Source organism: Homo sapiens, chromosome 9 (assembly GCF_000001405.40).
Source record: "Homo sapiens chromosome 9, GRCh38.p14 Primary Assembly".
NCBI classification, from domain to species: domain Eukaryota; kingdom Metazoa; phylum Chordata; class Mammalia; order Primates; family Hominidae; genus Homo; species Homo sapiens.
The window spans coordinates 3,543,244-3,569,816 of NC_000009.12; the positions used below are offsets into that span (position 1 = coordinate 3,543,244).

Consider the following 26,573-nt stretch of genomic DNA (forward strand, 5'->3'; position numbering starts at 1 on the left):
GTTCTATTTTGGGATTCTCTATTCTGTTCTATTGATATGTTTGTCTATCTTTACCCCAATACCACACTATCTTGTATACTGTAAATTTATAATTTTGAAATCAGGGAGTATTTTTGTTTTTCTTTTTAAAGGTTGTTTTCTATATTATAAGTCTTTTGTGTTTCCATATGAATTTTAGAATCAATGATTTGGGTTAACATTGTGTTGAATCTACAGAATAATCTGGTAAGAACTGACATGTTAATAATATTAAGTCTTCTGACCCATGAAAAAGGTACATATCTTCTTTTATTCTGGTCTTCTTTAATTTCTCTTGGTAATGTTTTTTAGTTTTTGGTATACAGATCTTTCACTATTTTTATCAGTTTTATCCCTGAGTAATCGTAATTTTGATGCTATTGCAAATAATACTGTTTTTAAATTTCTTTTGTTCATTACTAGTATAGAGAGATATAACTGATTTTTATTATGATCTTTTATATCCTGATACCTTGTTAAAGTAACTTCTAGTAGTTTCTTTGTTGATACCACCAGATTTTCTATGTAGATGAACATGTCAGCTGGGAATAAAAACAATTTTATTTCCACCTTTTCAAAAAGTAAAACACTTCCTCCAAAATCCCTCACCCTACTCAGGACTCAGAGATAAACACTATTAACAAATTTTGGTTTTAGTTCCTCTGGCAATCACAGTATTATTTTTCATGATATCTGTGATTCTCTTTCAAATTTAGATAGTATCTCTTGAAACTCTACAATGAATGATGAAAAAATTATACTATTTTCCCCTCCTTCACCTTGTTTTTCTCACTCTGACTCCAATTTTTAAAATTACATTATACTTTTCCATTGTCTAGGTTTATAACAATTGTTTCCATTTCTGACCATAAGGTGGGCTAGGTAAACTGAATGATCCTCCTTCAGCAAATACCTAAAAATTCTAAAGTATTTTAAAACAGCTTACTAAATGCACTGGTGAGCTGGCAAGAAAGGGAAATTCTCAAAGACGTACAAAGGATCAAAAGTCCAAATCAAAAAACTAAACCAGTACTGAGGAAGGAAATCTACCCTTCTTTCATAAGCTAGAATTACTATTTTAATGGCCTCTTGGAGACTGGAGACAAAACCTCGGACCTCATGAACTGAGAAGTTATAATCTGAAACCCCTCCACAGAGCCAGGACCAGAAGGGCTACACCTTCAATGAAAGTGAATTTTCATTAAAAGTAAAGAAAACAAGCAGTCATGTAAGCAAGAAGGTACAGAAGAAGACATGGAGGACTGGGAGTCTTGGGTCAAAAATGGTCCTGTACAAAATCCTTTTCAGGGTCAATTAAAACCTATTTCACTTTCATTTATTTAATCATCATTTTCAATGACTATTGATGAGTAGGGTTTCATTTTATTATTTCTTTTACTTTGCCATTTCATCTTGATCTCTGAATACTTTTTTCCAGTGGTTGTTGGATACCAGTGCATTTGTGAACAGAAGAAGAAATATTAGTTATCCTAACCTATAATACTAACTTTCAGCCTAATCCACAATGTATAATAAATATCACTGGGTATCTGAAGCTTATGAATTTTCATTTCAGTTTTAAAATGTTTTTTGCTTTGGCATGGTGGCTTATGCCTGTAATCCCAGCATTTTGAGAGGCTGAGGTGGGAGGATCATTTGAAACCAGGGATTCGGTTTGCAGTGAGCTATGCACTTCAAGGTGAAGGAAGGGAAAATAGTATAATTTTTTCATCATTCATTGTAGAGTTTCAGACTGCACTCCAGCCTGGGCTACAGAGCAAGACCTTGTCTCTAAAAAATAAAAAATGTTTTTGTGCTAAAGGAATTAGTATGCTGTTGCTTGAATTTTGTTAATCTGAGATTATAAAACACACAAAAATATTATAAAGCTTATCTGTTTCCTTTAAAATTTTTAAAGCCTTACTTTTTATACTTTTCTCTGAATTGAATAAAAGGAAGAATAAGTTAACCACTTGATAACTATATTAGCAATGTTGAGTTAGTGTCAAGAACTAGAAAGTAGGAATATAAAAATTAAAACTTGACAAAGGTTTAAAACCATGATTTTAAAAAATATCCAGACTTAATCTTTTGCTCCTTTAAAATGTGGTTCTTAAATGTGCATAGTTTGTAACCCTTTTACTGTTATAACTCCCTACAAATTGATTCATTGGTTTCACAGATTTTCTCCGTAGAAAATATAAAAACTTCTTGATTTCTAATTTTTCATTGTGCTATAGTTTTTCTCCATCATGGGTGTGTATATTTTGTAAATTCTAAATGGGTTTTTAGGTAAGTTTGGAAGCTATGTAATTAGGCATTTTCCTTATCCAGTTTTGAAGTTTGCGAATAAGTGCTTTTAAAAGAAATGTAGTTATTTTCATCCAAACATACCTTTATTCTCATGTTAGACCATCCTAAATTTAACTTTCACTAATGACCTCCAAAATGATTTGGAATTTTTGGCACTTCCTATTAAGACAATTACATTTTATTTGTGCAGGTTTAAAATTGTGTTTTATTGTGCATCACAAGAGTTTACCCAACTTTCTGTGAACTTGGGTCTCAGAACTAGCTTCATTACTGTGTTACTTTTGGAAATCACTTTACCTCACCGGGCTTCAGTGTTTGGTCTATAAATGGATTGGCATTTTTTAAAGTTTAAGGAAGAGTCCTCTTTGATGTTGATGAATCTAAGAAATGTGAACAGTGCACCTGTTTCACCATGAGTTTGTAATCTCTGATGGGTTATTTGGTTATTGGCAAAATAACCTGAAAATATAGCAGTGTTAAAGCTCCTGAAGATACCAGTATATTTTAATGCAGTTTAGTTTTTGAAGTTTTACGACATCTAAATTTCTACATTCTACTTTCTTTTTCTTTTCTTTTTTTTTTTTTTTTTTTTGAGAGGGAGTCTTGGTCTGTTGCACAGGCTGGAGTGCAGTGGTGCAATCTCGGCTCACTGCAACCTCTGCCTCCTGGGTTCAAGCGAGTCTCCTGCCTCAGCCTCCCGAGTAGCTGGGACTACAGGTGCCCGCCACCACGCCTGGCTAATTTTTGTATTTTAGTAGAGATGGAGTTTCATTATGTGGATCAAGCTGGTCTCAAACCCCTGACCTCAAATTATCTGCCTGCCTCGACCTCCCAATTCTACATTCTACTTTCTATTAGTAAAAGTGAATATAGAAAGATCGTACTCTGACACAAGCTAGAACTTGAATTTGTATACATTCTGGACCTTATTTAAAAATTTTAATACAATAAATTTCTGATGAAATAATTATTCATTAAAGCAAAATTTCTCCATATAAATGGGCTTTTATGATCTAATTAATGTAATTGTGTTTCACCATGGCAAGGTGTGTTTGTATGGCTCGTGTGTGTATGTGTGTGTGAAGTTAAGCATGATAAACTACCTTTAGAAGGCTGCTGAAAAATTTTTTGAAACGCTATTGAATTTTTCAAATGTTAAAAAAAATGTAAACTTACAAAATATTTTGGTCTTTTTTTAAAAAGGCAGGGGCATCCAGTGGTTCAAGGTTACAATAAGCTGTGATCGTGCCACTGCATTCTACCTGGGATGACAGAGTGGGACCCTGTGCCACAGAGTGAGACCCTGTCTCAAAAAAAAAAAAACTATGTAAATCCAAGGTATGATTTAAATACTTTTAACACGTGTTCATTTTAATCACACTTGTGGCTGTATTCCTCTTGTGTTTATATCTCTCAATATGTATACTGTTATTAATGTGGCATATATATAAAATCTTCACTGTTAAAAATATTTTCAAAAAATCAGTGCAGCTTATAAATTTACAGTGATTTATGCCTGTGCTCATGATGGGTACGATTTTGCTGATGTGAAACTAAAATTATGCAATAATTAAGTGAGATGCTTTACAATGGAGTTTGACTGTATTATCTTGGACAATAATTATAACTAACATTTATTGAGGGTTTTCTTTGTGCCAGTCATTGCTCTGTGAGTTAACTCAGTCGTCACAACACGATAAAACAGGTACTATTACAGTTCTCATTTTTACATAGTGAGAAAATGAGGACCAGAAACTTAAATAATTTTGCCAAGGCCGTAAGTTAGTAACTAATTGTCAGGATACACACTCAGACAAGGGCCTGTATTTGCCAAGCTACCTCTCTAGGGTACCAGTGGTTATATAAACTGAGCAAACTGGCTGGGTGCGGTGGCTCATGCCTGTAATCCCAGCGCTTTGGGAGGCCAAGGCAGGTAGATCATGAAGTCAGGAGATCAAGACCATCCTGATTAACACGGTGAAACCCCGTCTCTACTAAAAATACAAAAAATTAGCCAGGTGTGGTGGCACACACCTGTAGTCCCAGCTACTTGGGAGGCTGAGGCAAGAGAATTGTTTGAACCCACGAGGCGGAGGTTGCAATGAGCTGAGATTGTGCCATTGCTCTCCAGCCTGGAAGACAGAGTGAGACTCCATCTCTAAATAAATAAATAATAGAGCAAACTAATATAGTAGAAGGTGAAGTGTATGATAGCTATACCTTTTAGAATGATTCAGTCAGTTAATCCAATGATAATCAGGCCCTCTAGGATTTAAGCATGCATCCAAAATCACCAGACAGTGATTTCTAGAACAGAAGAATTACTCATTTCTAATGGAAGATACATATATTTGTCTGAAAACAAGAATCCTCATCTTCATAAAGCACATTCCTTCCACATGTTAAATCAAAAATCTGTCTGGCCAACATGATGAAACCCTATATCTACCAAAACTACAAAAATTAGATGGGCATGGTGGCACACACCTGTAATCCCAGTTACTTGGGAGGCTGAGACAGGAGCATCGCTTGAACCAGGGAAGACAGAGGTTGCAGTGAGCCGAGATCATGCCACTGCACTCCAGCCTGGGTGACAGGGCAAGACTCTGTCTCAAAAAATAAAAATAAAAAAATCTGACTGTTCAAGAATCCCAGACTTCCCTGCTAATGGGCATCTCCATTTGGATGTCCCATAATCAACTTCGATTTAAAATATCCAAAATTTGGCCTTATTACTTTTATGCTCCAATTTAATGTTTGTTTCCTGTATTCCTTTTCTTGATAATTGGAATCACTACCCCTCTGGTCGCCTGAGTTGGAAATCTGGTAGTAATCCTAGACACCTCTCTATAACTTAACTTTCTTAGCCAATCCAGTCTCCAAGTTCAGGACATTCTGCTTTCTTAGTCTCACTCGTTCTCACTGCTTTTCCTTCTTCCCTGCTGCCACTGTTTTTGAACAGGTCCCATCTCACTGGGATTAGCTGAGGAGACATTTCCCGTGATTTTTTCTATCTGTAATCTGGAAACTCCTACTAGAATGATCTTAAAATAGAAATCTGATCATGTCTTTCCTCTAGACAATTTTTAGCAATTTTTCATAACTTTTAGGAAAATGTCCAGATTCCTAAGCTGAACATAGAAAGCTCATTGTAATTTGGTACCAGCCTACTTTTCTAAAAAATGGTCCAGTCATCCTCCCTGTCTGGTGGTGCAAGATCAGTGGCAGGGCAGGCTAGGGAGTATGCAGGAGGATGGCTGAGGTTCTATGGTAAGGCATATCTCTACTATACTATCAGTAGGCAAACACCAGGATGTGTGTCCCCTGGAAGTGCAGAGTCAGGTCTGCAGTAAACAACGCAAATTTGAGAGTTAGAATAAGAGCAGAAACCAAGGTAGGAAGCCAAATTGAACCCATTGGTGAACCAATGAATGAGGAGGGTTGGGAGAAAGTTATGTCTGAAGGAATTCCTGAGAGATTTACACGTGTTTGTAGGAAACTTTTTTTAAAAGTTATTTACATGCAAACTATGAAGGCATATTTGGTTTTAGGAAAATAAACTAAATTTGAATAGGTATAAACCACTTGTCACCGAGAGATGTTATACTGTTTCATGTCTCTGTGCCTATCAGATGTCATTGCCTCTCCCTGAAATGCCCTCTGCTGCCTCCCTATTCTCTAACTCCTACTTATTCCATAGCCCAGTTCAAGCACCATCTCTTCTGTAAATAGCAATCACCAACATAAATTGAGCATTTACAGTCTCCAGGCACTATGCCAAATGCTCTAATACATAATCTCATTTAAACCTCATTAGGAAAGCTGCCTCTCTTTTCCTTGTTTTACAGATTAATAAATTCATGTTTAGAGAGATGAATTGATTTGCATGAGGTCATGCAACAATTAAGTTATGGAATGGAGAATTAAGCCCAGAGGGTCTGACTCCAGAGTTTGAGCTTGTTACCACCATTGGCCTTCACCAATTCCCTAGGCTGATTTGAGATGCCTTTCCATGTGCATTTGTGCTTATATCATCATAGCCACATCCATCTCTGATATGATCTTTTCTTTATCTGTTTCTCCCAGTGGTTAAAAAGCTCCTAAAAATCAAGAGACAAGTATCTACCACAAAAGTAAAATTTCAATAAACATTTGTTTAATTAATAAATTAGCATTTTCCGGCTGGGCATGGTGGCTCACACCTGTAATCCCAGCACTTTGAAAGGCTGAGATGGGCAGATCACGAGGTCAGGAGTTCCAGGCCAGCCTGGCCAACATAATGAAACCCCGTCTCTACTGAAAATACAAAAACTAGCTGGATGTGGAGGTGCATGTCTGTAGTCCCAGCTACGCAGGAGACTGAGGCAGGAGAATCACTTGAACCCGGGAGGCAGAGGTTGCAGTTAGCCAAGATCGCACCACTGCACTCCAGCCTGGGCAACAGAGTGAGACTCCCTCTCAAAATAAATAAATAAACAAAAATACAATAATTATTTTCCAACAAGTTGCTTAGGGAGTAGTAAGTGAGGACACTTGAGTGTCGTACCCAGGAAATTCATGTCAATTAAATGTGGCCTGTTTTGTTATGCTTTTGTCCTTTCAGGATAGTTCTTTAGTAAAATCTGGGGTCAGTCAACTAGAATCAGGCTATTCTCTTGTCTAGACAGTATTACATATATAGATAAAACATTATTTTTGTCTTTCTCAATACTTTATGCAGTTAACTGCCTCTTTGCTTCTGATAATCATTATCATGTGACAGTTTTCAAGATAGTTACTCATGCATGGCATATTTAAAGAAAATGTTTTTCCTAATTCATTCTTATTTTGCATCCAGGTTTGACTTTCACAAGGTATTATGTCTTATCCTTTTTCTAATTTTTGTGTTTGGAGATTTTAGCATAATCCTAGATAATGATTGTTTCCTGTGACTTCAATGCTATATGACTACACTAGACATCGAATAACCATGGCTTGATAAAAGTTGTATTCAGCTAATTATTTCAAATTAGTTTTAGGGCCTTATTCCAGCTCACGAATAAGGACCCCTCAAGTTTCAAAGAGAAGGAAAAATGGCGAGGAAAAACACTAAAATAACTACTGGCAAGGGTGTGTGTTCTCTTGTTCCAAATAGGCCCAAGAAAAGTAGTCATTAGTCTTACTAAGACAAGTGCCTCTAGACCCTGACAAGTGAAAAGAGAGGCAGATCTACATGCAAGGAGAGAAGCTTGTAAGCTCTTTTAAGAACTGCGTGTTCTCCCACCCACAACTCTGGGGACTGCAAAGCAATTTTAACTTGCCTACCAAATGGTCAGAAGGAGCACGAGGAAATTTTATCTCACTCATTCCAGATGTAATCCTGCGCAACATCAGTCAAACTTTTTTTTCTTTCAAATAGAACACGACAGACTGTGACAAAGTTTGAATACTCACTCAAACTTCACAGTGCAAGAACAAAGAAATAGGTCAACATTTTTGTGAGCTAAATACAGCATTTATATTAGAAGAAGGGATTGAAAGATATTAGATGTTGTGTCAAGACCACTGATTTCAAGTGGATGACTTGCTAGGTTTTAAGGTTCGATGAGAATGTAGCGTGGAGTAGCCCAATGTAGGGTGGTATAGATCCCACCTCTAATCAAGGGCTTCCCTTACCTTGAAGAGCAAAGGGCGGCTCTGTAGCTCCTGCCTTTGTCTTCAGTGCTTTCCATCGCTGCAACTGCTACACGTCCCATAACTGCTACCCAGCCTCCAACAACAGGGGCAAGTCTCCAGGGCTTTTCTCCATCTGACATAATATAGGTAGACATCATAGAAGATATGTGCAAGATGGCTCAGTACAGGGTAAAAAGAGCCAGGGGACAACAAGAAATACTCCTCTGTTGCGTTAGTCTTCTGAGATGTTAGGGTTTATCTGATACAGCAACTAGCTTTAACCCTATAATATTGGGCTTCCACAGAATTGGAATGTACCTGCAAACCTAGAGAAAAAGCTAAATTTTCGGAGTCAGATCACCTAGTTTTCTTTTGGTTCTTCAATTTTTAAAAACAATTTTTTTTAAATCAGTCTTAGCTCTGTTTTCTTATATTAAACAAAGGATTACAGGTCATCCTTAGGGCAGACTGTTAAGGAACGAGCAGCTCATGTCTGAGGCTAGATTTTTGGTGATGGCAGCATTAATTAGTGTTAGACATTAAAGAAAGTCAAGTCTAAAGGATAGAATCAGGACTATGTGGTCCAGTTCTCTGTCCCAAAGGAAATTTTACTTTGAGTTTCAACTCCAGAGACTCTAACCTTTTTTATTTTAGAGTTATTTGTTTCGTTTAGCTTTTATTCTTATTAAGAAAGATGGCATGTTTTTACTAAGATCTTACCATCACAGGAGTTCAAGACCAGTCTGGGCAACATGGCAAATCCCTGTCTCTACAAAACATACAAAAATAAGCCAGGTGTGGTGGCATGTGCCTGTAGTCCCAACTACCTGGGGGGCTGAGGTGGAAGGATTACTTGAGCCCAGGAGGTCAAGGCTGCAGTGAGCCAAGGTCATATCACTGCACCCCAGCCTGGGCAACAAAGTGAGAACCTGTCTCAAAAATTTGTTTTAAAAAAGACCTTAAATGGCTATTACTGAAGTAATTTTATAGTGACAGAAAATATGTTTTCTTAAGTAGATGGTATCTGTATTGAAATAATATTTACAGTTTTACATATTTAGTTCAAAGGTAAAATCCAATCTACCCTTGGGCCAAATTATCCTGCACTATAGGCTGGTAGGATATAAATTAATCTTACTGCTATCAATATGACCAGTTGTTATCCAAATTTATTAATATAAAATCAACAAGGTAGATAAATTTGAGAAACTAGTGGACCCTTGTACAGTAAATAATATTAAAGTTAGTTGGTAAAAAATAAGTGAAATGTGTAAACAAAAGTTAACTTTTATATTCAAAGTTATTAAGAAAGCCAGAAGAGGAAATGCTTCTATAATAATAATAATTATTATTATTATTATTTAGACAGAGTCTCTGTTGCCCAGGCTGGAGTACAGTGAGACCATCTTTCAATCTCTGCCTTCCGGGTTCAAGTGATTCTCCTGCTTCAGCCTCCAGGATTACAGGTGCATGCCACCATGCCCAGCCAATTTTTGTACATTTTTTAGTAGAGACAGGGTTTCACCATGTTGGCCAGGCTGGTCTTGAACTCCTGACCTAAAGTAATCCACCACCTCAGGCTCCCAACGTGCTGGGATTACAGGTGTGAGCCACCGTGCCCAGCCATTTTTTGTTGTTATTGTTTGTTTTCATGATTTCCTACAGGAAAAAAGCAAAATAAAAAACTGTAAAGAAAAAATGTCTTCAAATTAAGAAGTTTCAAATGTTAGGGTGGTCCCAAAATGCAGTAAGATCAAAACTTTGTGATTACAGAAGAAAGCATGTACAAGCAGAATCATAGAAAAATTACCTCCTGAAATATCAGAACAGGAGCTTCCTTAAAAAACTCAAGTTGCTTAAGAATTAGAACAAGTTATTGACTTTCCAAATAATTTTTGGTACTGAAAGCTCCCAGTAACACTAAACACTATCTAAAAATATTTCGGGAAAGTCATGTAAACTCTTTTTCATGTCATCTGAAAGAAGTTCTTTTGTAACACTGCTGACACAATTCAAATGAGTGAAAATATATATATTCCCTGAGGCATTTTGGTGGTAGGAAAGGAAGTATTTTCTAATGAATTATACACTGAGCTTGAATAGAATTAGCTGATCATTTTAAAGCTTAAACCATATCCATATGGCTTTTAAAAAGACACTAGTAGCAGAATCAACTTAGAAAAGAAGAGACATTCATGTCTACACAGATTTCTAGTTAAACAGTAATTGTTCCTTTGTCTTTTATAAATCACCAAAAAGAATAATGCTGTTAATTAATGGTGAATCATGCTCCAGTGATCTATTCATATTCTCTGGCATGTTGCTCTGGAGGTGGTAAGCAGCAAAGTGTTGATAACTATATTGACTTAGCTCGGAAAGGGATTAAGAATCTCAGTATGACAACAGATATGTATTCTCTTGTTATAGAAACATTTCACTCTTCTGTGCAACATTTACAGTGGCTTTCTTAGTCTTTGTATAGTAGCCAAACTCGTCTGCCTAATCTGTAAGAGCCATTGTCAATTCATGCCTAATTCATCTCAATTTTCTTGCTCAGACTCAACTCTATTTTTTTTCTTTGCACATATCCCCTTTGCCCCACTGAAGTTGTTCCAGTCTCTTCCATACGTGTCCATTCTGTCGCTTAAACGTGACTCAAAAAATCAACTGTGATTATCACATGAGAGGAGGATGATAGTCAGAAGTAGTAGAAAGACCTGTAAGTTTCAATTAATAAACTTTTATGGTGTTTGTGGAAGACAGTGCTAATTGCCTACTCCAAATCTATTCTTTCATCCCTAATAGCAGGATTCCAATTTTGTTGGAGTAGCAGTGTGTGCTTTTCTAAAAATACTTCTCCAGGCTCCCTTGCTGTTTGAGGGTGGCCATGTGTCACGACTGTGGACAATGAGGCATAAGTTACGGGTTTATTGAAAAGCTATTGTTTTCCTTGTAAGGGCACCTTCCTGCTTCCTTCTCCCTTCCACTTCCCACCTGGAATGCTGATGCAATACCTGGAGACAGAGTGGCTTTTTGCCACCTTGATATGAAAATCCTGAGGGCAAAGGTGTACACACTAAGGACAATGGAGTGAGAAAATAGAAAATGGGTCCCTAATGTTATCATTGAGCTGCCATAAATGGCCCTATTCTACCTACCTCCCCACCCCACCTCTACCCCTGCCTAGTCTTCTTACTCTGTGAACCAAATAAACTTCTCTCACTCTACGTTATTTACAGGGTTTTTCTGCTCATGTGGACAAGCCCATTCCTAACTGATGCCACTTTTAGAACTTTTTTGACCATAAGAATGCATCACTTTTATAGTAATAAAATAATTAAGTGTTTTAAGTGAAAACAACATGCACAAGAGCCCAAGCTTTGGAGTCAGACAAGACTAAATTGGAATCCAGATCTTCCTGCATACTAATTATCTGACTTTTGGCAACTTAATATCTCCAAGTCTCAACTTCCTCATCTGTAAAACAGGAATAAACAAATAAGTAATGATATTTAACATACAATACAGAGGATTGTTATAAGGTACATAATGAGCCCTTAATAAAGTATAGCTATTATTATTACTACCAACTTTCCAACACACACACACACACACACACACACACTTCTCTGTGTTCCTAATGCACTATATACAGAGCATTATGTAAGTAGAGAATGTTATATACATCAAGTATCTCTGGAGGTCAGAATGGTTGGTTTCTGATCCTTCGTTACCAGTTTCTGTGACTTTGGGAAAGGTATTAGGTCTCTTGACTTAAAAGTCCTCATCTGAAACGTGTGGGACAAAATCTTCAGATCTTTTTCAGTTTTAAAATTCTGTGAATATTAAAAAAACAAGGAAATGATTATCAAACCTTTAAAATAGTGGTTTTCCAGAGAGGATAGGAAGAGAGTTATGATCAGAGAGAGGCATATGGGGTAGGGATGAGGATGGTGGAAATGTTCCATTTATTTACTTGGTTGGTGGTTACACAGTTATTTGCTTTATGATTATTCATTAAACTGTACTGTATTAGGGTTCTCCGGAGGGACAGAACTAGTAGGATATATGTATATATGAAAGGGAGTTCATTAGGGAGAATAGGCTCACAGGATCACAAGGTGAAATCCCACAATAGGCCGTCTGTAAGCTGAGGAAGAAAGAAGCCAGTAGTGGCTCAGTCCAAAGCAGGAAAGGTAACAGTGCAGCCTTCAGGCTGTGGCCAAAGGCTGAGAGCCCCCAGCAAACAACTGGTGTAACTCCGAGAGTCCGAAGGCGGAAGAACCTCGAGTCTCATGTCCTAGGGCGGGAGGAATGGAAGGAAGCATCTAGCACGGGAGAAAGATGAAAGCCAGGAGACTCAGCAAGCCAGCTTATCCCACCTTCTTCCTCCTGCTTTGTTCCAGATGCGCTGGCAGCCAATTGCATGGTGGCCACCCACATGGAGGATGGGTCTTCCTCTCCCAGTCCTCTGACTCAAATGTCAGTCTCCTCTGGCAACACCCTCATAGACACACCCAGAAACAATGCTTTACCAGCTATCTAGGCATCCTTCAATCAAGTTGACACCTAATATTAACCATCACATGTACCCATATATTTTGTGTGCTGCTTATATGTATCTTACATTTCAGAAAATCCTCCAAAGTTTATAATTATGTTTACAGGCATACTAACTTGCTCTACATTATGTTATAAAGATTTTTCGGCCAGGTGCGCTGGCTCACGCCTGTAATCCCAACACTTTGGGAGGCCAAGGCCGGCGGATCACAAGGTCAGGAGTTGAAGACAAGCCTGATCAACATGGTGAAACCCCGTCTCTACTAAAAATACAAAAATTAGCTGGGCCTGGTGGTGCTGACCTGTAACCCCAGCCACTCAGGAGGCTGAGGCAGGAGAATCACTTGAACCCGGGAGGCAAGGTTGCAGTGAGCCAAGATTGCGCCACTGCACTCCAGCCTGGGCGACAGAGCGAGACTCCGTCTCAAAAAAAAAAAAAAAAAAAAAAAAAGATTTTTCCACTTGTACAATTAGGAATAAGATGTGTATAATAATAATATAATTCACTAATCCTCCTTATTGACAGCATAGCTCCTTTCACTGTTGTCTTACATCTTTATCTCTTAGTAGAAGAGGTTGGAGGTGGGGCAAATATCTCCTGAGGAAGGAGGAGGATGTGACATAAGTAAAGCTCCTAAAAGCCAGTAAGGGGAAGTAAAAGATAGCCCTTCAGTCTTTTGGAGAGGGGTTTGGGGAAGGTAGGAGATCAAAGTCTTGACTCACTTTTAAACCTGAAACCCTGGAAAGATAGTGTGGGGAGAAAAATACAGTAATGGAATCCCAATGAAAATCTGTTTCATGCTTTTTAAAAAGAACTAATAGTGTTTTTTTAGCAGTTTGCTATAGAAATATTGAGTGGAAGGTACAGAGAGTTCCCACATTCTCCCTCATTCCTCCCACCAGTTTTCCCTGTTATTTTGTTATTATTTTTATTTTTTAGTAAATGATGGTTCTTTCTTTCAGTCATTGGATTTATGCTGGCTGCTGTGACACAGCCACCCTGTTACCAAGCACTCTGTCCCTTAGCAGAATCCCCTAGTTGAGAGCCAGTATCAAACCCAGAGGTGTAAAGAGTTTGGTGGGAATATTCATATATATATACTTTAAGTTCTGGGATACATGTGCAGAAGGTGCAGGTTTGTTACATAGATAAACATGTGCCATGGTGGTTTGCTGCACCCATCAACCCATCATCTTCACTAGGTATTTCTCCTAATGCTATCCCTCCCCTAGCCCCTCACCCCCCGAAAGGCCCCTGTGTGTGATGTTGCCCTCCCTGTGTCCATGTGTACTCATTGTTCAACTCCCGCTTATGAGTGAGAACATGCGGTGTTTGGTTTTCTGTTCCTGTGTTAGTTTGCTGAGAATAATGGTTTCCAGCTTCATCCATGTCCCTGTAAAGGAGATGAACTCATTCTTTTTTATGGCTGCATAGTATTCCATGGTATATATTTGCCACATTTTCTTCATCCAGTCTAACATTGATGGGCATTTGGGGTGGTTCCAAGTCTTTGCTATTGTGCATAGTGCTGCAATAAACATACATGTGCATGTGTCTTTATAGTAGAATGATTTATAATCCTTTGGGTATACAGCCAGTAATGGGATTGCTGGGTCAAATGGTAGTTCTGGTTCTAGATCCTTGAGGAGTCGCCACACTGACTTCCACAATGGTTGAACTAATTTAGACTCCCACCAACAGTGTAAAAATGTTCCTATTTCTCCACATCCTCTCCAGCATCTGTTGTTTCCTGACTTTTTAATGATCCCCATTCTAACTGGAGTGAGATGGTATCCCATTGTGGTTTTGATTTGCATTTCTCTAATGCCAGTGATGATGAGCTTTTTTTCCATATGTTTTTTGGCTGCATAAATATCTTCTTTTGAGAAGTGTCTGTTCATATCCTTTGCCCACTTTTTGATGGGGTTGTTTTTTTATTGTAAATTTGTTTAAGTTCCTTGTAGCTTCTGGATATTAGCCCTTTTTCAGATGAATAGATTGCAAAAATTTTCTCCCATTCTGTAGGTTGCCTGTTCACTCTGATGATAGTTGATTTTGCTGTGCAGAAGCTCTTTAGTTTAATTAGATCTCATTTGTCAATTTTGGCTTCTGTTGCCATTACTTTTGGTGTTTTAGTCATGAGGTCTTTTCCTATGCCTGCATCCCAAATGGTATTGCCTAGGTTTTCTTCTAGGGTTTTTATGATTTTAGGTCTTACATTTAAATCTTTAATCCATCTTGAGTTAATTTTTGTATAAGGTGTAAGGAAGGGGTCCAGTTTCAGTTTTCTGCATATGGCTAGCCAGTTTTCCCAACACCATTTATTAAATAAGGAATCATTTCCCCATTGCTTGTTTTTGTCGGGTTTGTCAAAGATCAGATGGCTGTAGATGTGTGGCATTATTTCTGAGGCCTCTGTTCTGTTGCATTAGTCTATATATCTGTTTTGGTACAAGTACCATGCTGTTTTGGTTACTGTAGGCTTGCAGTATAGTTTGAAGTCAGGTAGTGTGATGCCTCCAGCTTTGTTCTTTTTGCTTAGGATTGTATTGGCTATATGGACTCTTTTTTGGTTCCATATGAAATTTAAAGTAGTTTTTTTGAATTCTGTGAAGAAAGTCAATGGTAGCTTGATGGAGATGGCATTGAATCTACCAGTATGGCCATTTTCACGATATTGATTCTTCCTATCCATGAGCATGGAGTGTTTTTCCATTAGTTTGTGTCCTCTCTTATTTCCTTGAGCAGTGGTTTGTAGTTCTCCTTGAAGTGGTCCTTCACATCCCTTGTAAGTTGTATTCCTAGGTATTTTATTCTCTTTGTAGCAATTATGAATGAGAGTTCACTCATGATTTGGCTCTCTGTTTGTCTATTATTGGTGTATAATAGGAACGCTTGTGATTTTTGCACATTGATTTTATATCCTGAGACTTCGCTGAAGTTGCTTATCAGCTTAAGGAGATTTTGGGTTGAAATGATGGGGTTTTCTAAATACACAATTATGTCGTCTGCAAACAGAGACAATTTGACTTCCTCTCTTCCTATCTGAATACCCTTTATTTATTTTCTCTTGACTGATTGTTCCAGCCAGAACTTCCAATACTATGTTGAATAGGAGTGGTGAGAGAGGGCATCTTTTTCTTGTGCCAGTTTTCAAAGAGAATGCTTCTAGCTTTTGCCTACACAGTATGATATTGGCTGTGGGTCTGTCATGAATAGCTCTTATTATTTTGAGATATGTTCCATCAATGCCTAGTTTATTGAGAGTTTTTAGCATAAAGAGCTGTTGAATTTTATTGAAGGCCTTTTCTGCATCTATTGAGATAATCATGTGGTTTTTATCGTTGGTTCTGTTTCTGTGATGGATTATGTTTATTGATTTGTGTATGTTGAGCCAGCCTTGCAACCCAGGAATGAAGCCGACTTGATCATGATGGATAAGCTTTTTGATGTGCTGCTGGATTTTGTTTGCCAGCATTTTATTGAGGATTTTTGCTTCAGTGTTTATCAGGGATATTGGCCCGAAATTTTCTTTTTTGTTGTGTCTCTGCCAGGTTTTGGTATCAGGATGATGCCGGCCTCATAAAATGAGTTAGGGAGGATTCCCTCTATTTCTAATGTTTGGAATAGTTTCAGAAGGAATGGTACCATTCCTTCTCCTCTCTGTACCTCTGGTAGAATTCAGTTGTGAAGCCATCTGGTTTTGGGCTTTTTTTGGTTGGTAGGCTATTAATTACTGCCTAAATTTCAGAACTTGTTATTGATCTATTCAGGGATTCGACTTCTTCCTGGTTTAGTCTTGGGAGGGTGTATGTGTCCAGCAATTTATCCATTTCTTCAAGATTTTCTAGTTTATTTGTGTAGAGGTGTTTATAGTATTCTCTGGTGGTAGTTTGTATTTCTGTGGGATCAGTGGTGATCTCCCCTTTATCATTTTTTATTGCATCTATTTGATTCTTCTCTCTTTTCTTCTTTATTAGTCTGGCTAGTGGTCTATTTTGCTAATCTTTTCAAAAAACCAGCTCCTGGATTCATTGATTTTTTGAAGGGTTTTTGGTGTCTCTACTTCCTTCAGTTCTGCTCTGATCTTAGTTATTTCTTGTCTTCTGCTAGCTTTTGAATTTGTTTGATCTTGCTTCTCTAGTTCTTTTAATTGTGATGTTAGAGTGTCTATTTTAGATCTTTCCCACTTTCTCATGTGGGCATTTAGTGCCATAAATTTCCCTCTAAACACTGCTTTAGCTGTGTCGCAGAGATTCTGGTATATTGTGTCTTTGTTCTCATTGGTTTCAAAGAACTTATTTATTTCTGACTTAATTTCGTTATGTACCCAGTAGTCATTCATGAGCAGGTTGTTCGGTTTCCATGTAGTTGTGCAGTTTTGAGTGAGTTTCTTAATCCTGAGTTCTAATTTGATTGCACTGTGGTCTGAGAAACTGTTTGTTATGATTTCCATTCTTTTGCCTTTCCTGAGGAGTGTTTTACTTCCAATTATGTGGCCGATTTTAGACTAAGTGCAATGTAGTGCTGAGAAGAATGTACATTCTGTTGATTTGGAGTGGAGAGTTCTGTAGCTGTCTATTAGGGCCACTTGGTCCAGAGCTGAGTTCAAATCCTGCATATCCTTGTTAATTTTCTGTCTTGTTGATCTGTCTAATATTGACAGTGGGGTATTGAAGTCTCCCACTATTATTTTGTGGGTGTCTAAGTCTCTTTGTAGGTCCCTAAGAATGTGGTTTATGAATCTGGATGCTCCTGTATTGGTGCATATATATTTAGGAGAGTTAGCTCTTCTTTTTGCATTGATCCCTTTACCATTATGTAATACCCTTCTTTGTCTTTTTTAATCTTTGTTGGTTTAAAGTCTCTTTTATCAGAGACTAGGATTGCAACCCTGCTCTTTTTTTCCTTTCCATTTGCTTGGTAAATATTCTTCCATCCCTTTATTTTGAGCCTATGTGTGCCTTTGCACATGAGATGTGTCTCCTGAATACAACACACCTATGGGTGTTGACTCTTTATCCAATTTTCCAGTCTGTGTCTTTTAATTGTGAGATTTAGCCCATTTACATTTAAGGGTAATATTGTTATGTGTGAATCTGATCCTGTCATTAGGATGCTAGCTGGTTATTTTGCCCATTAGTTGATGCAGTGTCTTCATAGTGTTGATGTTCTTTACATTTTGGTTTGTTTTTTCAGTGGCTAGTACTGGTTTTTCCGTTCCATATTTAGTGCTTCCTTCTGGATCTCTTGTAAGGCAGGCCTGGTGGTGACAAAATTCCTTAGCATTTGCTCGTCTGTAAAGGATTTTATTTATCTTTTGCTTACAAAGCTTAGTTTGGCTGGATATGAAATTCCGGGTTGAAAATTCTTTTCTTTAAGAATGTTGAATATTGTCCCCCACTCTCTTCTGGCTTGTAGGGTTTCTGTAGAGAGATCTGCTGTTAGTCTGATTGGCTTCCCTTTGTAGGTAACCTGCCCTTTGTCTCTGGCTGCCCTTAACAATTTTTCCTTCATTTCAACCTTGGTGAATCTGACGATTATGTGTCTTGGGGTTGCTCTTCTTGACGAGTATCTTTGTGCTATTCTCTTTTTTTCCTGAATTTGAATGTTGGCCTGTCTTGCTAGGTTGGGGAATGTTGTCCTGTCTTGCTAGGTTGGGGAATTTCTCCTGGATAATATCTTGAAGAGTGTTTCCCAACTGGGTTTCATTTTCCCTGTCACTTTCAGGTACACCAATCAAACGCAGGTTTGGTCTTTTCACATAGTCCCATATTTCTTGGAGGCTTTGTTCATTCCTTTTCACTCTTTTTTCTCAAATCTTGTCTTCATGCTTTATTTCATTAAGCTGACCTTCGGTCTCTGATATCCTTTCTTCCCCTTGGTCGATTCGGCTATTGATACTTGTCTATGCTTCACAAAGTTCTTGTGCTGTTTTTCAGCTCCATCAGGTCATTTATATTCTTTTCTAAACTGGTTATTCTAGTTAGCAATTCCTCTAACCTTTTTTCAAAGTTCTTAGCTTCCTTGCATTGGGTTAGAACATGCTCCTTTAGCTTGGAGCAGTTTGTTATTACCCACCTTCTGAAGCCTACTTCTGTCAATTCATCAGACTCATTCTCCATACTGTTCTGTTCCCTTGCTGGCGAGGAGTTGTGACCCTTTCTAGGAGAAGAGGTGTTTTGGTTTTTGGAATTTTCAGGCTTTTTGTGCTGGTTTTTCCTCATCTTTGTAAGTTTATCTACCTTTGGTCTTTGATGCTAGTGACCTTCCAATGGGGTTTTTGTGTGGATGTCCTTTTTGTTGATATCGATGCTATTTCTTTCTGTTAGTTTTCCTTCCAATAGTCAGGCCCCTCTTCTGCATGTCTGCTGGAGTTTGCTGTAGGTCCACTCCCGGCCCTGTTTGCCTGGGTATCACCAGCAGAGGCTGCCGAATAGAAAAGATTGCTGCCTGTTCCTTCCTCTGGAAGTTTTGTTTCAGAGATGCACCCGCCAGATGCCAGCCAGGGCTCTCCTGTATGAGGTGTCTGTAGACCCCTGCTGGGAGGTGTCTCCCAGTCAGGAGGCATGGGGGTCAGGGAACCACTTCAGGAGGCAGTCTGTCCCTTAGTAGAGCTTGAGCGCTGTGCTGGGAAATCTGCTGCTGTCTTCAGAGCCAGCAGGCAGGAATGTTTAAGTCTGCTGAAGGTACTCCCACAGCCGCCCCTTCCCCCACATGCTCTGTCCCAGGGAGATGGGAGTTTGAACTATAAGCCCCTGACTGGGGCTACTGCAATTCTTTCAGAGATGCCCTGCCCAGAGAGGAGGAATCTAGAGAGGCAGTCTGGCTACAGCAGCTTTGCGGAGCTGTGGTGGGCTCTGCCCAGTCCAAACTTCCAAATGGTTTTGTTTACCCTATGAGGGGAAGACCGCCTACTCAAGCCTCAGTACTGGCGGACTCCCATCCCCACACCAAGCTCGAGTGTCCCCGGTTGACTTCAGACTGCTGTGCTGGCAGCGAGAATTTCAAGCCAGTGGATCTTACCTTGAAGAGCTCCATGGGGGTGGGATCGGATCACTTGGCTCCCTGGCTTCAGCCCCCTTTCCAGGGGAGTGAATGGGTCTGTCTTGCTGGCATTCTAGGCACCACTGTGGTATGAAGAAAAACTCCTGCAGCTTGCTCAGTGTCTGCCCAAATGGCCGCCCGGTTCTGTGCTTGAAACCCAGGGCCCTGGTGGTGTAGCCACCGAAGGAATCTCCTGGTCTGTTGGTTGTGAAGACCATGGGAAAAGCATAGTATCTGGGCCAGAAGACACTGTTCCTCATGGCACAGTCTTTCACAGGTTCCCTTAGCTAGGGGAGGGAGTTCTGCAACCCCTTGTGCTTCCTGGGTGAGGCGACACCCCACCCTGCTTCAGCTCGCCCTCCGTGGGCTGTACCCACTGTCTAACCAGCCCCAATGGGATGAGCCGGGTACCTCAGCCAGAAATGCAGAAATCACCTGCCTTCTGCATTGATCTCGCTGGGAGGTGAAGACCGGAGCTGTTCCTAATTGGCTGTGTTGCCCAGGAATCCAGCTTTCCCTATTATTAATATTGTGCATTAGTGTGGCACATTTGTTATAATTGATGTGCCAATATTGATACAGTATTATTAACTAAAGCCATAGGTTACATTAAGGGTCATTCTTTGTTTTGTACATTCTATGGATTTTGACAAGTGTTTTGTAACATGTATCCATAATTACATTATCATACAGAGTACAGTCAAGTGTCAATACTTTCTGAGAAATGCATCGTTTGGAGATTTCCAAGTTGTGTGAACATCATAGAGAGTACTTTACACAAACCCAGTTGATATAACCTACTACACAGCTGGTATATGATATAGTCTATTGCTCCTAGGCTATAAACCTGTACAGCAGGTTACTGTACTGAATACCATAGGCAATTACAACACAGGGTAAGTATTTCTGTTTCTAAACATATCTAAACATAGAAAAGGTACAGCAAAAATATGGCATAAAAGGTAAAAATGGTGCACCTGAATAAGGCACACACCATGAATAGAATGTGCAGAACTGGAAGTTGCTCTGGGTGAGTCAGTGAGAGAGTATAAGTGAATATGGAAGTCTAGGATATTACTGTACACTACTGTATACTTTATCAACCCTGTACACTTAGGCTACATTAAATTTATTTAATTTTTTCTTCAATAATAAATTAATCTTAGCTTACTGTGATTCTTTTACTTTATAAACCTTTTGGTTGGGTGCAGTAACTCGTACCTATAATTCCAGCACTTTGGGAGGCTGAACCAAGAGGATCACTTGAGCCCAGGAGTTTGAGACCAGCCTGGGCAACATGGTGAGACCTGGTCTCACCTAGTCTCTACAAAAAATACAAAAATTAGCCACGTGTGGTGGCAGGCACCTGTAATCCCACCTACTCGGGAGGCTGAGGCAGGAAGATCACTTGAGCCTGGGAAGGTCGAGGGTGCAGAGAGCCATGATCACGCCACTGCACTCCAGCCTGGGTTACAGAGTGAGACCCTGTCTCACAAAACCACACAAAACAAAACCCTTACAAAACAAAACCCTTTTAATTTTTAAAAAACTTTTTGGCTCTTTTGTAATAACACTTAGCTTAAAACACACATACATTGTACAGCCATACAAAAATCTTTATATTCTTATTCTATAAGCTTTTTTCTACTTTTGTAATTTTTAATTATTTTAACTTTTTAAACATTTTTGTAAAAAATAAAAATAAAACACAAACACAAACATTACTCTAGGCCTACACAGGGTCAGGATCACTAATATCACTGTCCTCCACCTCCATAGCTTGTCCCACTGGAAGATCTTTGGAGGAAATAACACACATGAACCTATCATCTTCTATAATAACAATGCCTTTTTCTGGGATATCGCCTAAAGAACCTGCCTGAGGCCATTTTACAGTTAACTTTTAAAAAATATGTAAATAGGAGTACACTCTAAAAAAGCCATAAAAAGTAGAGTATCATAAATACATAAATCAGTAATATAATAATTTATTATCATTATTGTGTATTTTGTACTATACATAATTGTATGTGCTATACCATTACACAACTGGCAGTGTAGTAGGTGTGTTTACACCAGCATCACTGCAAACACATCACTACAAACATGTGAGTCATGTGTTGTGCCACGACATTCGGATGGCTGTGATGTCACTAGGCAATAGAAATTTTTCAGCTCTGTTATAATATTATGGGACCACTTTGGTGCTATATGTGGTCTGTCATTGATGAAAACATTATGCAGTGTATGATTGTTCCACTGTTATAAACAAACCCCTGCGTTCGTTTTCCCAAAACCTGCCAACCACTGATCTTTTCACTGTCTCCATAGTTTTTTCCTTTTCCAGAATGTCATATAGTTGTCATATAGTTGTAGCATGTAACCTTCTCGGGTTGTCTTCGTTCACTTAGCAATATGCATTTAAGCTTTCTTTATGTTTTTTTCATGGCTCAATAGCTCATTTCTTTTTAATGATGAATAATATTTCATTGTATGGATGTACTACAGTTTGTTTATTTACCTATTAAAAGACATCTTGATTGCTTCCAGATTTTGGTAATTGCTATAACTTTTGTGTTCGAATTTTATGTTGACAGCAGTTTTCAACTGGTTAGGGTAAATATGCCTTTTTCAAGAGACACAGCATGTGACATGAAGTGCTTTCCCTAAGCCTTCCTGGCAGTTAGAAATGGCGCAGTAGCATCATAAGTTTGCTTCACATTTGCACTGGAGCCGATGTTAGATTTGCAGGGTTTTCTAAATGTACAGTAGTACTTAAGAACCCACATAAGGGCCGGGCACGGTGGCTCACGCCTGTAATCCCAGCACTTTGGGAGGCTGAGGCAGGTGGATTACGAGGTCAGGAGTTCAAGACCAGCCTGGCCAAGATGGTGAAACCCATCCCTACTAAAAATACAAAAATTAGCCAGGTGCAGTGGCGGGTGCCTATAATCCCAGCTACTTGGGAGGCTGAGGCAGGAGAATCGTTTGAACCCAGGCGACAAAGGTTGCAGTGAGCCAAGATCGCACCACTGCATTCCAGCCTGGGTGGCAGAGTGAGACCCTGTCTCAAAAAACAAAAACAAAAAAAGAACCCACATAAGTAGTGGGCTCAAGGACCAGCTCACTGGTACCTGTAGCTCTCATCCCTCCTTATCCAAGAAGTTTCCAGTGGGACAAAGGGGATGTAGTTTCCATGCAGAAACTTCAGAGAGAGTCACCCATTAGGGATAAGGGAATGCAAAGGTAGCACCTCTAAAGGTCTCTGACACCAGGAGGCTCTGGTAGTATGAGCCCAGCAGTTATCTGATGACCATGAAATGTGCTCATGATGCAGCCAGTTGCTGAACACCATCATTGACAGGAACCAGATTGAGTGAAGACAAAAGCAGTCAGAGCCAATGAAGAGCAGATCCCAGACTTTAAGAGGAGATGACAGCCCAGGCGTAGTCGCTCACACCTGTAATCCTAGCACTTTGGGAGGCCGAGGTGGGGGGGGATCACCTGAGGTCAGGAGTTCGAGACCAGCCAGGCCAACATGGCAAAACCTCGTCTCTACTAAAACTACAAAAATTAACTGGGCGTGGTGGCACACAACTGTAGTCCCAGCTACTCGGGAGGCTGAGGCAGGAGAATCGCTTGAACCTGGGAGGCAGAGGTTGCAGTGAGCCACGATCGCACCACTGCACTCCAACCTGGGCAACAGAGCAAGACTCCATCTCAAAAAAAAAAAAAAAGGAGATGCCAGTCTGGGACCTTGTTGTCAAATCAGACAAACGTCCTCACAGAAATCAATCAGACATCTTGAAAGACAAGGCAGGCAAAATATCCACGTGGGCTCCTGAAGCCCTGTCTCGCCCTCACAAGGACACAATTCCTTCCTTTTTCAATGTAGACTTTATCTCTGGAAATAGGAAAAGAGGAGGGAAACAGACCTGATGACAGGAATTTGAAATTTAGCTTAAATGGATACACACCTGAAATGGTCTAAGATACTTTTAAACGGCATGCTTAGGTACCTCCCTTCCAGCCCTTTGTATCTGCCTATAGTTGGAAATGGGGACCCATACCGGAAAGGAAGTTTAGATCATTGAAGAAGGAAGAGGAGTGGGGGGAGAGAGGAAAAGGATGAGGAATTTTTTTCTTTTTTTTTTTTTTGCCAATCTAAGAGAATTTGTTATATTTTTGCTCCACAATATGGGTTATATTATACAACATATTTTATATAAAAATGTCCTGTGGAATAGTAAGATGGGAAGCACTGCTTGAAGGACAGAAGCCAGGGACTTCTCACCTGGAAAGCAACGTACTCCTGCAATTAAGGGTTGGGAACGGTCAGTGTGTGTTTGAATCGCAGCATCCTCACTTATTTTAAACAAAGTAATTAACCTGACTGAGCATTTGATTTCTTAGCTATAAAACAAAGATACTACTAATATCTACTTAATGGACTGCTTTGATATTAAATAAGAGATGCATGTAAATCTTCCAGCACAGCGCTTAATAACAAGAATTATTAAGCTCTAAACTTTATGCCAAGTAACTTTGTATAAGTCACATGGGCTATTTGACTCTAAATTTTCACATATGCAATAAGAAGAATTACTGCTTCTTTTACAGGGTAGTTGTAAGGATTGAATGAGATAACTAAATAATGGGTGAGTGCATAGTACATACTGAGGTCATATTAACTTTCCCGTCTCATCTCTTAATAACATCTAGAATAGTGCAGTGCTTATAATACTACTTATAACTCTTAAGGATCTATTGAGAAACTACTTACTTCTATTTCTGTAGTTGCTGGTCTCTTTATTGAATTCTATACCTGAGGAGACTCAATTAATGACACCAGGGTTGAGTCTTGTCAGCTTTAGGAAGGAAGTACATGTGTATTTTGTATGCCTTTATTTCTTTCAGCATATTTTTTCATCCTCCCTCACTCACACCTCCCTTCACTTTTCAGAGTTCCCATTTCAGCCCCACCCAGGCCTACATACCCTGTATGTGCTGGGTCACCATAACTCTTCTACTGTCAAATCTTTTGCTTTGAGGGCATTCTCCTCTGCTGACCAATGGATGGTTAGTAACCTGAAAAATGGATCCCTCTTGGGTTCTTAATGGCCGATAATGGGTTAATTCACATGTCATTATTTCATTCCAGGTGTTACAATTTAACAGGATACTCTGGTAGCTTGTGTGCTTTAACCCATAGGAATAATTTCTTTTATAGTCCCATTACCATTCTTGAGTGCTAATAATGAAATATTTTTAGATTAGACGATCACTTGAGGCCCCTCATATCACACTCAGAGCTGTCTACTCTACTAACACTTAGTAAACCCTGATCAGGACACCGTATAAACACTGGTATCCTAGAGACTTGGAAATGTTAACTTATCTCCGTTACATTGTGCCCAGGGAGTGGCGTGAGCGCTTGCAAGCATAAGGCCAAACAAACAAAGTTCATTAAATGAACATAATTTTTCCAACCCATAGATAAAATTCTGCCCTCAAATTCTTACTGGAGCTCTACGTTTAATATTGGAAACCTAAGAATATTATAAAATTCCTCTTTAAAGTAGACATTTCACAAAGGAAGTAAGGACAATATTTTGTGTTCGCTGGCAATATACTCTATTCTTATTTAAGTCAACATTGCCCAGTGGTTGCACCTGAATTTGGGATATTAAAATACAGTCTCTACTCAGGAGGCTGAGGCATGAAAATCACTGAAACCCAGGAGGTAAAGGTTGCAGTGAGCTGAGATCATGCCACTGCACTCCCACCTGGGCGACAAAGTGAGATCCTGTCTCAAATAAATAAATTAAATCTCAAATCTGTGGTGTTATTACAGGGTTTTAATGTTTATAATCTTCGTTCTTTCCATGAAATGTAAGTGTTATTACCATTTCTTCTCACCTATTCTTTACAAAACTACTCTGGCTTCTTTACACAGAAAAAAAGAAAACAGCTCCTGTTGCCTTTTGCCTCTCATCCAGAAAGGTATCCATTTGCCTTTCTAATATCTCTTCATCCTGTCAGGCCACAAATGGTGAGTCCTTCTATCTCTGAGGAGTTGCTGACACTGAGTTTCTGTTTAAAGAAAACTGTAAGAAGGTTATATCCTAGAACTGATCCAGGATATCACCTCCTGGCTTAAAATATTTGAAAACTCCCTTCTTAGTTGTGAATCCGTTTACTTATCAGTATTTGTCATTCCCATGTATTCATAAGGCAACATGCTAGAAACCACAGTGGATGCAAAAAGTCATTAATTTCCTGAATGGCTCTTAACAATCTATTGGAAAGGCAAGGTATACACAATGTTACTGGGATTTTTCTCTGTATCGGGCTGGCAAACTACAGGCCATGAGTTGGCCCATGACCTGCTTTTACATGGCTCAAGAGCTAAAAAAGGTTTTTATATTTTTAAAGGGTTATAAAAAACAAAATAAAACAAAGAATATGTGACATAGACTATAAGTGAAACACAGAGACTGAGATATTTACCATCTGGCCCTTTACAGAAAAAGGTTGCCTATCTCTGCTCAACACAGTTCTGGATGTAACTAACAGGATGTAGTTCATCCCCAAAAGCAAATACTGGAGAACATTCTTATGGGCCCCATATAAACACACATAGCCCACCCTTCTTCTTGATGTATTTCTAGTGGTCCCATATGCTTCTCTGTATCTTGAGAGAGAATTTGCCTTGGTGATGTCTCCCAGTGCTGACTTGTGCAGAGGGACAATTGCAGCAGAATGGTCCTAGCACCCTTAACCAGTAGTAGTGTCTAAAGCATAGAAGCTGGATGAAGTTATGGTTGTCAGTGTTTGAGAAAGGGGAAACCCCCAGCATGATGCCTCTCCTCTACATCCTGCTAAGCAGGAGCCCAAATGATTGGAGCTCTTAGTCGTCAGCTCTCATTTGCCATATCAGCCATATTCCAGGTGCTAGGTTTCAGCACCTGTTCCACCA

At 39.2% G+C, this 26,573-nt stretch overlaps 1 long non-coding RNA gene across 1 annotated transcript in view; it reads left to right on the forward strand.

Moving 5' to 3' along the window:
* The window catches only part of LOC124902110 (uncharacterized), a 112,958-nt gene that overhangs the window by 16,759 nt on the left and 69,626 nt on the right, over nucleotides 1-26,573 (forward strand). Inside the window, exons 2-3 of the long non-coding RNA XR_007061398.1 lie at nucleotides 3,535-3,669; nucleotides 25,551-25,646. This is a non-coding gene — a long non-coding RNA (uncharacterized LOC124902110). The remainder of the gene's footprint in view (nucleotides 1-3,534; nucleotides 3,670-25,550; nucleotides 25,647-26,573) is intronic.